Source organism: Homo sapiens, chromosome 20, assembly GCF_000001405.40.
Source record: "Homo sapiens chromosome 20, GRCh38.p14 Primary Assembly".
In the NCBI taxonomy this organism is placed as follows: Eukaryota; Metazoa; Chordata; class Mammalia; order Primates; family Hominidae; genus Homo; species Homo sapiens.
Window position 1 is genome coordinate 30,134,684 of NC_000020.11, and position 18,434 is coordinate 30,153,117.

Genomic DNA, 18,434 nt, shown 5'->3' on the forward strand with positions numbered 1-18,434 from the left:
GCAGAAGCATTCTCAGAAACGTCTTTGTGATGTGTGCATTCAACTCACAGAGTTGAACCTTTCTTTGATAGAGCAGTTTTGAAACACTCTTTTTGTAGAATCTGCAGTTGGATATTTCGAGCGCTTTGATGCCTATGGTGGAAAAGGAAATATCCGCACATAAAAACTAGACAGCAGCATTCTCAGAAACTTGTTTGTGTTGTGTGCATTCAACTCACAGAGTTGACCTTTCCTTTGATTGAGCAGTTTTGAAAAAGTCTTTTTGCAGAATCTGCAAGTGGATATTTGGAGCGGTTTGAGGCCTATGGTGTAAAAGGAAATATCTTCACATAAAAACTGACAGAAGCATCTCTGAACTCTTNGTGATGGTGATTCACTCCAGAGTGACTCACAGAGTGACTTTCTTNGATGAGCAGTTTGAAAAGTCTTTTGCAGAACTGCAGTGGATATTGGAGCGTTGAGGCCTATGGTGTAAAAGGAAATATCTTCACATAAAAACTAGACAGAAGCATTCTCTGAAACTTCTTTGTGATGTGTGAATTCAACTCACAGAGTTGAACCTTTCTTTTGTAGAGCAGTTTTGAAACTCTTTTTGTAGAATCTGTAAGTAGATATTTGGAGCGCTTTGAGGCTTATGGTGGAAAAGGAAATATCTTCACATAAAAACTAGACAGAAGCATTCTCAGAAACTTCTTTGTGATAAGTGCATTCAACTCACAGAGTCGAACCTTTCTGTTGATAGAGCAGTTTTAAATCACTCTTTTTCTAGAATCTGAAAGTGGATATTTGGAGTGCTCTGAGGCCTATGGTGGAAAAGGAAATACCTACACATAAAAACTAGGCGGAAGCATTCTCAGAAATATCTTTGTGATGAGTGCATTCAACTCACAGAGTTGAACATTTATGTTGATAGAGGAGTTTTAAAACACTCTTTTTCAGGAATCTGAAAGTGGATATTTGGAGCGCTTTGAGGCCTATAGTGGAAAAGGAAACACCTTCACAAAAAAAACTAGAGCAGAAGCATTCTCAGGAACTTCTTTGTGATGTGTGCATTCAACTCACAGAGTTGAAGCTTTTTTTTTGATAGAGCAGTTTTGAAACACTATTTTTGTACAATCTGCGGTTGGATATTTGGAGCGCTTTGATGCCTATGGTGGAAAACGAAATATCCGCACATAAAATCTAGACAGCAGCATTCTCAGAAACTTGTTTGTGTTGTGTGCATTCAACTCACAGAGTTGAACCTTTCCTTTGATTGAGCAGTTTCGAAAAAGTCTTTTTGTAGAATCCACAAGTGGATATTTGGAGCAGTTTGAGGCCTATGGTGTAAAAGGAAATATCTTCACATAAAAACCAGACAGAAGCATTCTCAGAAACTTCTTTGTGTTGTGTGCATTCAACTCACAGAGTTGAACTTTTCCTATGATTGAGCAGTTTTGAAACACTCTTTCTGAAGAATCTGCAAGTGGATATTTGGAGCGCTTTGAGGCCTATGGTGGAAAAGGAAACACCTTCACAAAAAAACTAGAGCAGAAGCATTCTCAGAAACGTCTTTGTGATGTGTGCATTCAACTCACAGAGTTGAACCTTTCTTTGATAGAGCAGTTTTGAAACACTCTTTTTGTAGAATCTGCAGTTGGATATTTGGAGCGCTTTGATGCCTATGGTGGAAAAGGAAATATCCGCACATAAAAACTAGACAGCAGCATTCTCAGAAACTTGTTTGTGTTGTGTGCATTCAACTCACAGAGTTGAGCTTTCCTTTGATTGAGCAGTTTTGAAAAAGTCTTTTTGCAGAATCTGCAAGTGGATATTTGGAGCGGTTTGAGGCCTATGGTGTAAAAGGAAATATCTTCACATAAAAACTAGACAGAAGCATTCTCTGAAACTTCTTTGTGATGTGTGAATTCAACTCATAGAGTTGAACCTTTCTTTTGTAGAGCAGTTTTGAAACTCTTTTTGTAGAATCTGTAAGTAGATATTTGGAGCGCTTTGAGGCTTATGGTGGAAAAGGAAATATCTTCACATAAAAACTAGACAGAAGCATTCTCAGAAACTTCTTTGTGATAAGTGCATTCAACTCACAGAGTCGAACCTTTCTGTTGATAGAGCAGTTTTAAATCACTCTTTTTCTAGAATCTGAAAGTGGATATTTGGAGTGCTCTGAGGCCTATGGTGGAAAAGGAAATACCTACACATAAAAACTAGGCGGAAGCATTCTCAGAACTATCTTTGTGATGAGTGCATTCAACTCACAGAGTTGAACATTTATGTTGATAGAGGAGTTTTGAAACACTCTTTTTCAGGAATCTGAAAGTGGATATTTGGAGCGCTTTGAGGCCTATGGTGGAAAAGGAAACACCTTCACAAAAAAAACTAGAGCAGAAGCATTCTCAGAAACTTCTTTGTGATGTGTGCATTCAACTCACAGATTTGAACCTTTTTTTTGATAGAGCAGTTTTGAAACACTATTTTTGTACAATCTGCAGTTGGATATTTGGAGGGCTTTGATGCCTATGGTGGAAAACGAAATATCCGCACATAAAATCTAGACAGCAGCATTCTCAGAAACTTGTTTGTGTTGTGTGCATTCAACTCACAGAGTTGAACCTTTCCTTTGATTGAGCAGTTTTGAGAAAGTCTTTTTGTATAATCCACAAGTGGATATTTGGAGCAGTTTGAGGCCTATGGTGTAAAAGGAAATATCTTCACATAAAAACTATACAGAAGCATTCTCAGAAACTTCTTTGTGATGTGTGAAATCAACTCACAGAGTTGAACCTTTCTTTCGTAGAGCAGTTTTGAAACACTCTTTTTGTAGAATCTGCAAGTAGATATTTGGAGCGCTTTGAGGCTTATGGTGGAAAAGGAAATATCTTCACATAAAAACTAGAAAGAAGCATTCTCAGAAACTTCTTTGTGATGTGTGCATTCAACTCACAGATTTGAACCTTTCTGTTGATAGAGCAGTTTTAAAACACTCTTTTTCTGGAATCTGAAAGTGGATATTTGGAGCGCTTTGAGGCCTATAGTGGAAAAGGAAACACCTTTACAAAAAAACTATAGCAGAAGAATTCTCAGAAACTTCTTTGTGATGTGTGCATTCAACTCTTTGAGTTTTTTGATAGAGCAGTTTTGAAACACTATTTTTGTAGAATCTGCAATTGGATATTTGGAGGGCTTTGATGCCTACGGTGGAAAAGGAAATATCCACACATAAAAACTAGACACAGCATGCTCAGAAACTTGTTTGTGTTGTGTGCATTCAACTCACAGAGTTGACCTTTCCTTTGATTGAGCAGTTTTGAAAAAGTCTTTTTGTAGAATCTGCAAGTGGACATTTGGAGCGGTTTAAGGCCTATGGTGTAAAAGGAAATATCTTCACATAAAGACTAGACAGAAGTATTCTCAGAAAGTTCTTTGCGATGTGTGAATTCAACTCACAGAGTTGAACCTTTCTTTCATAGAGCAGTTTTGAAACACTCTTTTTATAGAATCTGCAAGTAGATATTTGGAGCGCTTTGAGGCTTATAGTAGAAAAGGAAATATCTTCACATAAAAACTAGACAGAAGCATTCTCAGAAACTTCTTTGTGATAAGTGCATTCAACCCACAGAGTTGAGCCTTTCTTTTGATAGAGCAGTTTTAAAACACTCTTTTTCTAGAATCTGAAATTGGATATTTGGAGCGCTTTTAGGCCTATGGAGGAAAAGGAAATATCTTCACATAAAAACTAGATGGAAGCATTCTCAGAAACTTCTTTGTGATAAGTGCATTCAACTCACAGAGTTGAGCCTTTCTTTTGATAGAGCAGTTTTAAAACACTCTTTTTCTAGAATCTGAAAGTGGATATTTGGAGTGCTTTGAGGCCTATGGTGGAAAAGGAAATATCTTCACATAGAAACTAGGCAGATGCATTGTCAGTAACTAATTTGTGTTGTGTGCATTCAACTCACAGAGTTGTATTTTTCCTTTGATTGAGCAGTTTTGAAACACTCTTTTTGTAGAATCTGCAAGTGGATATTTGGAGCACTTTGAGGCCTATGGTGGAAAAGGAAACACCTTCACAAAAAGACTGGAGCAGAAGCATTCTTAGAAACTCCTTTGTGATGTGTGCATTCAACTCACACTGTTCAAACTTTCTTTAGATAGATCAGTTTTGAAACACACTTTTTGTAGAATCTGCAAGTGGATATTTGCAGCGCTTTGAGGCCTATGGTGGAAAAACAAATATCCTCATATAAAAACTCGACAGAAGCATTCTCAGAGACTTGTTTGTGTTGTGTAAATTCAACGCACGGAGTTGAACCATTCCTTTGATTGAGCAGTTTTGAAACACTCTTTTTGTAGAATCTGCCAGTGGATATTTGAAGCGCTTTGATGCCTATGGTGTAATAGGAACTATCTTCACATAAAAACTAGACAGAAGCATTCTCAGAATCTTTCTTGTAATGTGTGCATTCAACTCGCAGTGTTAAACCTTTGTTTTGAATAGCAGTTTTGAAACACTTTTTTTTTAGAATATGCAAGTGGATATTTGGATCGCTTTGTGGCCTATGGAGGAAAACAAAATATCTTCACATAAAAAGTTGACAGAAACATTCTCAGAAACTACTTTGTGATGAGTGCATTCTATTCAAAAAGTTGAAAGTTTCTTTTTATGGAGCAATTTTGAAACACTCTTTTCGTAGATTCTGAAAATGGATTCTGGAGCGATTTGAGGCCTATGTTGGAAAAGTAAATATCCTCACATTAAAACTTGACTGAAGCATTCTCAGAAACATCTTTGTGTTGTGTGCATTCAACTCACCGAGTTGAATATTTCGTTTGATTGAGCAGTTTTGAAACACTATTTTTGTAGTATCTGCAAGTGGATATTTGGAGGGTTTGAGGCCTTTGGCGGAAAAGGAAATATCTTCACATAAAAACTGGACAGATGCATTCTCAGAAACTTCTTGGTGATGAGTCCATTCACCTCAGAGAGTTGAACCTTCCTTATGATAGAGCAGTTTTAAAACACTCTTTTTATAGAATCTGCAAGTGCATATTTGGAGCGCTTTGAGGCCTATGGTGGTAAAGGAAATATCTTCACATAAAAACTAGAGAAAAGCATTCTCCGAAACTTCTTTGTGATGAGTGAATTCAACTCACAGAGCTGAACCTTTCTCTTGATAGAGCAGTTTTGAAACACTCTTTTTGTAGGATCTGCAAGTGGATATTTGGAGTGCTCTGAGGCCTATGGTGGAAAAGGAAATATCATCAAATGAAAACTAGACAGAAGCATTCTCAGAAACTTCTTTGTGTTGTGTGTATTCAACTCACAGAGTTGAAATTTTCCTTTGATTGAGCAGTTTTGAAACACTCCTTTTGTAGAATCTGCAAGTGAATATTTGGAGTGCTTTGAGGCCTATGGTGGAAAGGGAAACACCTTCATATAAAAACTAGATCAGAAACATTCTCAGAAACTTATTTCTGATGTGTTCATTCATCTCACAAAGTTGAACCTTTGTTTTGTTAGAGCAGTTTTGAAACTCTCTTTTTGTGGAATCTGCAACTGGATATTTGGAGAGCTTTGAGGTCTATGGTGGGAAAGGAAATATCCTCACATAAAAATTAGACAGAAGCATTCCCAGAAACTTCTTTCGATGAGTGCGTTCTACTCACAGTGTTGAACATTTCTTTGAAATACGAGTTTTGAAACACTCTTTTTGTAGAAACTGAAAGTGGATATTTTTAGCGTTTTGAGGCCTATGGTGGAAAAGGAAATATCTTCACTGAAACACTCTTTTTCTAGAATCTGAACGTGGATATTTGGAGCGTTTTGAGGCCTATAGTGGAAAAGGAAATATTTTCACATTAAAACTCAACAGAAGCATTCTCAGAAACTTATTTGTGATGTATGCATTGAACTCACAGAGGTGAACTTTTTTTTTTTTTTTTTGATAGAACAGTTTCGCGACACCCTTTTTCTAGAATCTGAATGTGGATATTTGGAGTGCTTTGAGGCCTATGGTGGAAAAGGAAATATCCTCACATAAAAACTAGACAGGAGCATTCTCAGAAACTTTTTTGTACTGTGTGCATTCAACTCACAGAGTTGAAATTTTCTGTTGATAGAGTAGTTTTGAAACACTCTTTTTTTAATTTTTATTTATTTATTATTATTGTACTTTAAGTTTTAGGATACATGTGCACAATGTGCAGGTTAGTTGCATATGTATACATGTGCCATGCTGGTGCGCTGCACCCACTAACTCGTCATCTAACATTAGGTATATCTCCCAATGCTATCCCTCCCCCCTCCCCACAACCCACAACAGGCCCCAGTGTGTGATGTTCCCCTTCCTGTGTCCATGTGTTATCATTGTTCAATTCCCACCTATGAGTGAGAATATGTGGTGTTTGGCTTTTTGTTCTTGCGATAGTTTACTGAGAATGATGATTTCCAGTTTCATCCATATCCCTACAAAGTACGTGAACTCATCATTTTTTATGGCTGCATAGTATTCCATGGTGTATATGTGCCACATTTTCTTAATCCAGTCTATCATTGTTGGACATTTGGGTTGGTTCCAAATCTTTGCTATTGTGAATAATGCCGCAAAAAACATACATGTGCGTGTGTCTTTATAGCAGCATGATTTATATTCCTTTGGGTATATACCCAGTAATGGGATGGCTGGGTCAAATGGTATTTCTAGTTCTAGATCCCTGAGGAATTGCCACACTGACTTCCACAATTGTTGAACTAGTTTACAGTCCCACCAACAGTGTAAAAGTGTTCCTATTTCTCCACATCCTCTCCAGCACCTGTTGTTTCCTGACTTTTTAATGATTGCCATTCTAACTGGTGTGACATGGTATCTCATTGTGGTTTTCATTTGCATTTCTCTGATGGCCCGTGATGGTGAGCATTTTTTCATCTGTTTTTTGGCTGCTTAAATGTCTTCTTTTGAGAAGTGTCTGTTCATGTCCTTCGCCCACTTTTTGATGGGGTTGTTTGTTTTTTTCTTGTAAATTTGTTTGAGTTCATTGTAGATTCTGGATATCAGCCCTTTGTCAGATGAGTAGGTTGTGAAAATTTTCTCCCATTTTGTAGGTTGCCTGTTCACTCTGATGGTAGTTTCCTTTGCTGTGCACAAGCTCTTTAGTTTAATTAGATCCCATTTGTCAATTTTGTCTTTTGTTGCCATTGCTTTTGGTGTTTTAGACATGAAGTCCTTGCCCATGCCTATGTCCTGCATGGTAATGCCTAGGTTTTCTTCTAGGGTTTTTATGGTTTTAGTTATAACATTTAAGTCTTTAATCCATCTTGAATTGACTTTTGTATAAGGTGTAAGGAAGGGATCCAGTTTCAGCTTTCTACATATGGCCAGCTAGTTTCTCCAGCAGCATTTATTAAATAGGGAATCCTTTCCCCATTGCTTGTTTTTCTCAGGTTTGTCCAAAATCAGATAGTTAGAGATAAGTGGCATTATTTCTGAGGGCTCTGTTCTGTTCCATTGATCTATATCTCTGTTTTGGTACCAGTACCATGCTGATTTGGTTACTGTAGCCTTGTAGTATAGTTTGAAGTCAGGTAGTGTGACGCCTCCAGCTTTGTTCTTTTGGCTTAGGATTGACTTGGCAATGAGGGCTCTTTTTTGGTTCCCTGTGAACTTTAAAGTAGTTTTTTCCAATTCTGTGAAGAAAGTGATTGGTAGCTTGATGGGGATGGCATTGAATCTGTAAATTACTTTGGGCTGTATGGCCATTTTCATGATATTGATTCTTCCTATCCATGAGCATGGAATGTTCTTCCATTTGTTTGTATCCTCTTTTATTTCCTTGAGCAGAGGTTTGTAGTTCTCTTTGAAGAGGTCCTTCGCATCTCTTGTAAGTTGGATTCCTAGGTATTTTATTCTCTTTGAAGCAATTGTGAATGAGAGTTCACTCATGATTTGGCTCTCTGTTTGTCTGTTATTGGTGTATAAGAATGCTTGTGATTATTGTACATTGATTTTGTACCCTGAGATTTGCTGAAGTTGCTTATCAGCTTAAGGAGATTTTGGGCTGAAACAATGGGGTTTTCTAGATATACAATCATGTCGTCTGCAAACAGGGACAATTTGACTTCCTTTTTTCCTAATTGAATACGCTTTATTTCCTTCTCCTGCCTAATTGCCCTGGCCAGAGCTTCCAACACTATGTTGAATAGGAGTGGTGAGAGAGTGCATCCCTGTCTTGTGCCAGTTTTCAAAGGGAATGCTTCCAGTTTTTGCCCATTCAGTATGATATTGGCTGTGGGTTTGTTATAGATAGCTCTTATTATTTTGAAATACGGCCCATCAATACCTAATTTATTGAGAGTTTTTAGCGTGAAGTGTTGTTGAATTTTGTCAAAGGCCTTTTCTGCATCTATTGAGATAATCATGTGGTTTTGACCTTTGGTTCTGTTTATATGCTGGATTACATTTATTGATTTGCCTATATGGAACCAGCCTTGCATCCCATGGATGAAGCCCATTGATCATGGTGGATAAGCTTTTTGATGTGCTGCTGCATTCAGTTTGCCAGTATTTTATTGAGGATTTTTGCCTCAATGTTCATCAATGATATTGGTCTAAATTTCTCTTTTTTGGTTGTGTCTCTGCCCGGCTTTGGTATCAGGATGATGCTGGCCACATAAAATGAGTTAGGGAGGATTCTCTCTTTTTCTATTGATTGGAATAGATTCAGAAAGAATGGTACCAGTTCCTCCTTGTACCTCTGGTAGAATTCGGCTGTGAATCCATCTGGTCATGGACTCTTTTTGGTTGATAAGCTATTGATTATTGCCACAATTTCAGATCTTGTTATTGGTCTATTCAGAGATTCAAATTCTTTTTGGTTTTGTCTTGGGAGAGTGTATGTGTTGAGGAATTTATCCATTTCTTCTAGATTTTATAGTTTATTTGCATAGAAGTGTTTGTAGTATTCTCTGATGGTAGTTTGTATTTCTGTGGGATTGGTGGTGATATCCCCTTTATCATTTTTTATTGCATCTATTTGATTCTTCTCTCTTTTTTTCTTTATTAGTCTTGCTAGTGGTCTATCAATTTTGTTGATCTTTTAAAAAAACAGCTCCTGGATTCATTAATTTTTTGAAGGGTTTTTTGTGTCTCTATTTCCTTCCGTTCTGCTCTGATTTTAGTTATTTCTTGCCTTCTGCTAGCTTTTGAATGTGTTTTCTCTTGCTTTTCTAGTTCTTTTAGTTGTGATGTTAGGGTGTCAATTTTGGATCTTTCCCACTTTCTCTTGTGGGCATTTAGTGCTATAAATTTCCCTCTACACACTGCTTTGAATGCATCCCAGAGATTCTGGTATGTTGTGTCTTTGTTCTCATTTGTTTCAAAGAACATCTTTATTTCTGCCTTCATTTCATTATGTACCCAGTAGTCATTCAGGAGCTGGTTGTTCAGTTTCCATGTAGTAGAGCGGTTTTGAGTGAGATTCTTAATCCTGAGTTCTAGTTTGATTGCACTGTGGTCTGAGAGATAGTTTGTTATAATTTCTGTTCTTTTACATTTGCTGAGGAGAGCTTTACTTCCAACTCTGTGGTCAATTTTGGAATAAGTGTGGTGTGGTGCTGAAAAAATGTATATTCTGTTGATAAGGGGTAAAGAGTTCTGTAGATGTCTATTAGGTCCGCTTGGTGCAGAGCTGAGTTCAATTCCTGGGTATCCTTGTTGACTTTCTGTCTCGATCTGTCTAATGTTGACAGTGGGGTGTTAAAATCTCCCATTAATAATGTGTGGGAGTCAACGTCTCTTTGTAGGTCACTCAGGACTTGCTTTATGAATCTGGGTGCTCCTGTATTGGGTGCATATATATTTAGGATAGTTAGCTCTTCTTGTTGAATTGATCCCTTTACCATTATGTAATGGCCTTCTTTGTCTCTTTTGATCTTTGTTAGTTTAAGGTCTGTTTTATCAGACTAGGATTGCAACCTCTGCCTTTTTTGTTTTCCATTTGCTTGGTAGATCTTCCTCCATCCATTTATTTTGAGCCTATGTGTGTCTCTGCACATGAGATGGGTTTCCTGAATACAGCACACTGATGAGTCTTGACTCTTTCTCCAATTTACCAGTCTGTGTCTTTTAATTGGAGCATTTAGTCCATTTATATTTAAAGTTAATACAGTTATGTGTGAATTTGAACCTGCCATTATGATGTTAGCTGGTTATTTTGCTCGTTAGTTGATGCAGTTTTTTCCTAGTCTCGATGGTCTTTACATTTTGGCATGATTTTGCAGTGGCTGGTACCAGCTATTCCTTTCCATGTTTAGTGCTTCCTTCAGGAGCTCTTTTAGGGCAGGCCTGGTGGTGTCAAAATCTCTCAGCATTTGCTTGTCAGAAAAGTATTTTATTTCTCCTTCACATATAAACAAGACAGAAGCATTCTCAGAAACTTCTTTGTGATGTTTGCATTAAACTCACAGGGTTGAACATAACTTTTCATAGAGCAGTATTGAAAAACTCTTTTCATAGAATCTGCAAGTGGATATTTGGACTGCTTTGAGGCCTTCATTGGAAACAGGAACATCTTCACATAGAAAGAGGACACAAGCATTCTCAGAAACTACTTTGTGATGTGTGCATTCAACTCATAGAGATAAACATACCTTTACATAGAGCTGTATTGAAACTCTCTTTTCGTAGAATCTGCAAGTGGATGTTTGGACTGCTTTGAGGCCTTCGTTGGAAATGGGAATATCCTCACATAAAAATTAGACAGGAGCATTCTCCGAAACGTCTTTGTGATGTGTGCATTTAACTCACAGAGTTGAACCTTTCTTTCTTTTGATAGAGCAGTTTTGAAGCCCTCTTTTTGTAGAATCTGCAAGTGGACATTGGGAAAGCTTAGAGGCCTATAGTGGAAAAGGAAATATCTTCACATAAAAACTAGACAGAAGCATTCTCAGAAACTTCTTTGTGACGTTTGCATTCAACTCAAAGAGTTGAACATACCTTTCGTACAGCAGTTTTAAAACATTCTTTTCTTAGAATCTGCAAGTGGATATTTGCACGGCTTTGAGGCCTTTGTTGGAAACGGGAAGGTCTTCACATAAAAACTAGACAGAAGCATTCTCAGAAACTTCTTTGTGATGTGTGCGTTCAACACACAGAGTTGAAACTTTTTCTTGATAGAGTAGTTTTGAAACACTCTTTTTGTAGAATCTGCAATTTGACATTTGGAGAGCTTTGAGGCCTATGGTGGAAAACGAAATATCTACACATAAAGACTAGACAGAAGCGTTCTCAGTGACTTCTTTGTGATGTTTCCATTCGACTCACAAATTTGAACATACCTTTTCATAGGGCAGTTTTGAAACACTCTTTTCATAGTATATGCAAGTGGATATTTGGACTGCTTTCAGGCCTTCGTTGGAAACGGGAATATCTTCACATAAAAACTAGACAGAAGCATTCTCAGAAACTTCTTTGTGATGTGTGCATTCAATTCACAGAATTGACCTTACCTTTTAATAGAGCAGTATTGGAACACTCTTTTCGTAAAATATGCAAGTGTATATTTGGACTGCTTTGAGGCCTTCGTTGGAAACGGGAGTATCTTCACATAAAAACTAGACAGAAGCATTCTCAGAAACTTCGTTGTGATGTGTGCATTCAACTCACAGAGTGGAACATAGCTTTTCATAGAGAAGTTTTGAAACACTCTTTTCGTTAATATGAAAGTGGATATTTAAACTGCTTTGGGGCCTTCGTTTGAAATGGGAATATCTTCACATAAAAGTTAGACAAAAGGATTCTCAGAAACTTCTTTGTGATGTGTGCATTCAACTCACAGATTTGAACCTTTCTTTTCGTAGAGAAGTTTTGAAACACTCTCGTCGTAGAATCTGCAATTGAATATTTGGACTGCTTTGAGGCCTTCGTTGGAAAAGGGAATATCTTGACATAAAAAGTAAACAGAAGCATTCCCAGAAACTTCTCTGTGATGTCGGCATTCAACTCGTAGAGTTCAACATACCTTTTCATAGAGCAGTTTTGAAACACTCTTTTCATAGAATCTGCAAGTGTATATTTTGACTGCTTTGAGGCCTATGGTGGAAAAGTAAATATCTACAAAGAAAATCCAGAGAGAAGCATTCTCAGAAACTTTTTGTGATGTTTGCATTCAACTCACAGAGTTGAACTTACCTGTTCATAGAGCAGTTACGAAACACTCTTTTCGTAGAATCTGCAAGTGGATATTTGGAATGCTTAGAGGCCTACTGTGGAAAAGGAAATATCTTCACATAAAAACAAGACGGAAGCATTCACAGTAACTTCTTTGTGATGTGCGCATTCAACTCACAGAGTTGAACCTTTATTTTGATAGAGCAGTTTTGAAACACTCTTTTTGTAGAATCTGCAAGTGGACATTTGGAGAGCTTTGAGACCTTTGGTGGAAAAGTAAGTATCTACACAGAAAATCCAGACAGAAGCATTCTCAGAAACTTCTTTTTGATGTTTGCATTCAAGTCACAGAGTTGAACTTACTGTTCATAGAGCAGTTATGAAACACTCTTCTCGTAGAATCTGCAGGTGGATATTTGGATTGATTTGAGGCCTTCGTTGGAAATGGAAATATCTTCACATAAAAATTAGACAGAAGCATTCTCAGAAACTACTTTGTGATCCGTGCATTCAACTCAAAGAGTTGAACCTTTCTTTTGATAGAGCAGTTTTGAAACACTCTTTTTGTAGAATCTCCAAGTGGACATTTGGAGAGCTTTGAGGCATATGGTGGAAAACAAAATATCTTCACATAAAAACTAGACAGAAGCATTCTCAAAAACTTCTCTGTAATGTTTGCATTCAATTGAAAGAGTTAAACAAACCTTTTCATAGGCAGTTTTGAAACACTCTTTTCATAGAATATGCAAGTGGATATTTGGACTGCTTTGAGGCCTTCGCTGGAAATGGGAATATTCTCACATAATAACTAGACAGAAGCATTCTCCGAAACATCTTTGTGGTGTGTGCATTTAACTCACAGAGGTGAACCTTTCTTTCTTTTGATAGAGCAGTTTTGAAACACTCTTTTCGTAGTATATGCAAGTGGATATTTGGACTGCTGTGAGGCCTTCGTTGGAAAAGGGAATATCTTCACATAAAAACTAGACAGAAGCATTCTCAGAAACTTCTTTGTGATGTGTGCATTCAACTCACAGAGTTGAACATAACTTTTCATAGAGCAGTTTTGAAACACTCTTTTCGTTAATATGAAAGTGGGTATTTAAACTGCTTTGGGGCCTTCGTTTGAAATGGGAATATCTTCACTTAAAAATTAGACAAAAGGATTCTCAGAAACTTCTTTGTGATGTGTGCATTCAACTCACAGATTTGAACCTTTCTTTTCATAGAGCAGTTTTGAAACACTCTCGTCGTAGAATCTGCAATTGAATATTTGGACTGCTTTGAGGCCTTCGTTGGAAAAGGTAATATCTTGACATAAAAAGTAAACAGAAGCATTCCCAGAAACTCCTCTCTGATGTCTAAATTCAACTCATAGATTTCAACATACCTTTTCATAGAGCAGTTTTGAAACACTCTTTTCGTAGAATCTGCAAGTATATATTTGGACTGCTTTGAGGTCTACGGTGGAAATGTAAATATCTACAAAGAAAATCCAGAGAGAAGCATTCTCAGAAACTTTTTGTGATGTTTGCATTCAACTCACAGAGTTGAACTTTCCTGTTCATAGAGCAGTTATGAAACACTCTTCTCGTAGAATCTGCAAGTGGATATTTGGAATGCTTTGAGGCCTTCATTGGAACCAGGAATATCTTCACATAAAAACAAGATGGAAGTATTCACAGTAACTTCTTTGTGATGTGTGCATTCAACTCACAGAGTTGAACCTTTATTTTGATAGAGCAGTTTTGAAACACTCTTTTTGTAGAATCTGCAAGTGGACATTTGGAGAGCTTTGAGACCTATGGTGGAGAAGTAAATATCTACACAGAAAATCTAGACAGAAGCATTCTCAGAAACTTCTTTTTGATGTTTGCATTCAACTCACAGAGTTGAACTTACTGTTCATAGAGTAGTTATGAAACACTCTTCTCGTAGAATCTGCAGGTGGATATTTGGACTGCTTTGAGGTCTTCCTTTGAAACGGGAATGTCTTTCTTTAAAAACTAGACAGAAGCATTCTCAGAATCTTCATTGTGATGTGTGCATTCAACTCACAGAGTTGAACCATTCTTTTGACAGAGCAGTTATGAAAAACTCTTTTTGTGGAATCTGCAAGTGGACATTTAGAGAGCTTTGAGGCCTATGGTGGAAAAGGAAATAGCTTCACATAACAACTAGACAGCAGCATTCTCAGAAACATCTTTTTGATGTTTGCATTACACTCACAGAGGTGAACATACCTTTTCAGAGAGCAGTTTTGAAACACTCTTTTCGTAGAATCTGCAAGTGGATATTTGGACTGCTTTGAGGCTTTCGATGGAAACGGGAATATATTCACATAAAAACCAGACAAAAGCATTCTCAGAAACTTCTTTGTGCTGTTTGCATTCAACTCATGGAGATGAACATGTCTTTTCATAGAGCAGTTTTGAAACACTCTTTTCGTAGAATCTGCAAGTGGATATTTGGACTGCTTTGAGGCTTTCGATGGAAACGGGAATATATTCACATAAAAACAAGACAGAACTATTCTCAGAAACTTCTTTGTGATGTGTGCATTAAACTCACGAATTTGAACCTTTCTTTTGATAGAGCAATTTTGAAACTCTCTTTTTGTAGAATCTCCAAGTGGACATTGGTAGAGCTTTGAGGCCTTTGGTGGAAAAGGAAATATCTTCACATAAAAACTAGACAGAAGCATTCTCAAAAACTTCTCTGTAATGTTTGCATTCAATTGAAAGAGTTGAACAAACCTTTTCATAGAGCAGTTTTGAAACACTCTTTTCATAAAATATGCAAGTGGATATTTGGACTGCTTTGAGGCCTTCGTTGGAAACGGGAATATCTTCACATAAAAACTAGACAGAAGCATTCTCCGAAACTTCTTTGTGATGTATGCATTCAACTCACAGAGTTGAACATAACTTTTCATAGAGCAGTTTTGAAACACTATTTTCTTAGAATCTGCAAGTGGATATTTGGACTGCTTTGAGGCCTTTGTTGGAAACGAGAATATCTTCACATAAAACCTGTAAACAAGCATTCTCAGAAACTTCTTTGTGATGTGTGCATTAAACTCATAGAGTTAAACATACCTTTTCATAGACCAGTTTTGAAACTCTCTTTTTGTAGAATCTGCAAGTGGATATTTGGACTGCTTTGAGGCATTCCTTGGAAACGAGAATGTCTTCCCATAAAAACGAGACAGAAGGATTCTCAGAAACTCCATTGTGATGAGTGCATTTAACTCACAGATTTGAACCTTTCTTTTGATAGAGCAATTATGAAACACTCTTTTTTGCAGAATCTGCAAGTGGACATTTGGAAAGATATGAGGCCTAAAGTGGAAAGGAAATATGTTCACATAAAAACTGTGGGTGCAGCGCACCAGCATGGCACATGTATACATATGTCACTGGCCTGCACAATGTGCACATGTACCCTAAAACTTAAAGTATAATAAAATAAATAAATAAATAAATAAATAAATAATAATAAACTAGACAGAAGCATTCTCAGAAACTTCTTTTTCATGATTGCATTCAAATCACTGTGTTGAACATACCTTTTCATAGAGCAGATTTGTAACACTGTTTTCGTAAAATCTGCATGTGGCTATTTTGACTGCTTTGAGGTCTTCGTTGGCAACAGGAATATCTTCACATAAAAACTAGACATAAGCATTCTCTGAAACTTCTTTGTGATGTGTGCATTATACTCACAGAGTTGAACATACTTTTTCATAGAGAAGTTTTTAAACACTCTTTTCGTAGAATCTGCAAGTGGTTATTTGGACTGCTTTGAGGTGTTCGTCGGAAACGGGAATATCTTCACAAAAAAAACTAGACAGAAGCATTCTCAGAAACTTCTTTGTGATATGTGCATTCATCTCACAGAGTTGAACATACCTTTTCATAGAGCAGTTTTGAAACACTCTTTAAGTAGAATCTGCAAGTGGATATTTAGACTGCTTTGAGACCTTTGTTGGAAACGGGAATATCTTTACATAAAAACTAGACAGAAGCATTCTCACAAAATTATTTGTGACGTGTGCATTCAACTCACAGAGCTGAACCTTTCTTTTGATAGAGCAGTTTTGAAACAATCTTTTTGCACAATCTGCAAGTGGACATTTGGAGAGCTTTGAGGCCTCTCGATGAAAAGTAAATATCTTCACATAAAAAGTGGAGAGCAGCATTCTCAGAAAATTCTTTGTGATGTTTGCATTCAACTCATAGAGTTGAACATTCCTTTTCATAAAGCAGTTTTGAAACAGTCTTTTCGTAGAATCTGCAAGTGGATATTTGGACTGCCTTGAGGCCTACATTGGAAACGGGAATATCTTTACATTAAAAACTAGACAGAAGCATTCTCAGAAACTTCTTTGTGATGTGTGCATTCAACTCAAGGTGTTGAACTTACCTTTTCTTAGAGCAGATTTGAAACACTCTTTTCTTTGAATCTGCAAGTGAATATTTTGACTGCTTGGAGGCCTTCGTTTGAAACAGGAATATCTTCACATAAAAACTAGATAGAAGCATTCCAGAAACTTCTTTGTGATGTGTGCATTCAACTCTCAGAGTTGAACCTTTCTTTTGATAGAGCTGTTTTGAAACACAATTTTTGTAGGACCTGCAACGGGACATTTGGAGAGCTTTGAGGCCTATGGTGGAAAAGGAAATATCTTCACATAAAAACTATACAGAAGCATTCTCAGAAACTTCTTGGTGATGTTTGCATTCAACTCGCAGAGCTGAACACACGTTTTCATAGAGCAGTTTTGAAACACTCTTTTCATAGTATCATCAGGTGGATAATTGGACTGCCTTGAGGCCTTCATTGGAAACGGGAATATGTTCACATAAAAACTAGACAGAAGCATTCTGAGAAACTTCTTTCTGATGTGTGCATTCAACTCACAGATTTAAACCTTACTTTTGATAGAGCAGTTTTGAAAAACTCTTTTTGTAGATTCTGCAAGTGGACATTTGGAGTGCTTTGAGGCCTGTGGTGGAAAAGGAAATATCTTCACATAAACACTAGACAGAAGCATTCTCAGAAACTTCTTTGTGATGTTTGCATTCAACTCACAGAGTTGAACGTGCCTTTCCATTGAGCAGTTTTGAATTACTCTTTTCGTAGAATCTGCAAGTGGATATTTGGACCGCTTTTAGGCCTTCGTTGGAAATGGGAATATCTTCACTTAAAAACTAGACAGAAACATTCTCGAAACTTCTTTGTGATGTGTGCATTCAACTCACAGAGTTGAACTTAGTTTTTCATAGGGAAATTTTGAAACTCTCTTTTCGTAGAATCTGCAAGTGGATATTTGGACTGCTTTGAGGCCTTCCTTGGAAAGGGGAATATCTTCACATAAAAACTAGACAGAAGCATTCTCAGAAACTTCTTTGTGATGTGTGAATTCAACTCACAGAGCTGAACCTTTCTTTTGATAGAACAGTTTTGAAACACTCTTTTTGTAGAATCTGCAAGTGGACATTTGGAATGCTTGGAGGCCTATGGTGGAAAAGGAAATATCTTCACATAAAAACCAGACAGAAGCATTCTCAGAAACTTCTTTCTGATGTTTGCATTCATCTCACAGAGTTGAACATAACTTTTCATGGAGTAGTTTTGAAACACTCTTTTCATAGTATCTGCAAGGGGATATTTGGACTGCTTTCAGGCCTTCTTGGAAACGGGAAAATCGTCACATAAAACATAGACAGAAGCTTTCTAAGAAACATCTTTGTGATGCGTGCATTCAACTCACAGAATTGAAACTTTATTTTGATAGAGCAGTTTTGAAACCCTCTTTTTGTAGAATCTGCAAGTGAACATTTTGGGAGCTTTGAGGCCTATGGTGGAACAGGAATTATCTTCACATAAAAAGTAGACAGAAGCAGTTTCAGAAACTTCTCTGTGATGTGTGCATTCAACTAACGCATTTAAATCTTTCTTTTGATAGAGAAGTGTTCAAACATTCTTTTTGTTGAATCTGCAATGGATATTTTGGGCTCTATGTGGCCTGCGGTGGAAACGGGAATATCTTCACATAAAAAAAGAGAGAAGCATTCTCAGAAACTTCTTTGTGATGTGTGCATTAAACTCATAGAGGTGAACATACCATTTCATAGATCAGTTTTGAAACACTCTTTTTGTAGGATCTGCAAGTGGATACTTGGAGAAGTTTGAGGACTATGGTGGAAAGGGGAATATCTTCACATAAAAACTAGACAGAAGCATTCTCAGAAACTTCTTTGTGGTGTG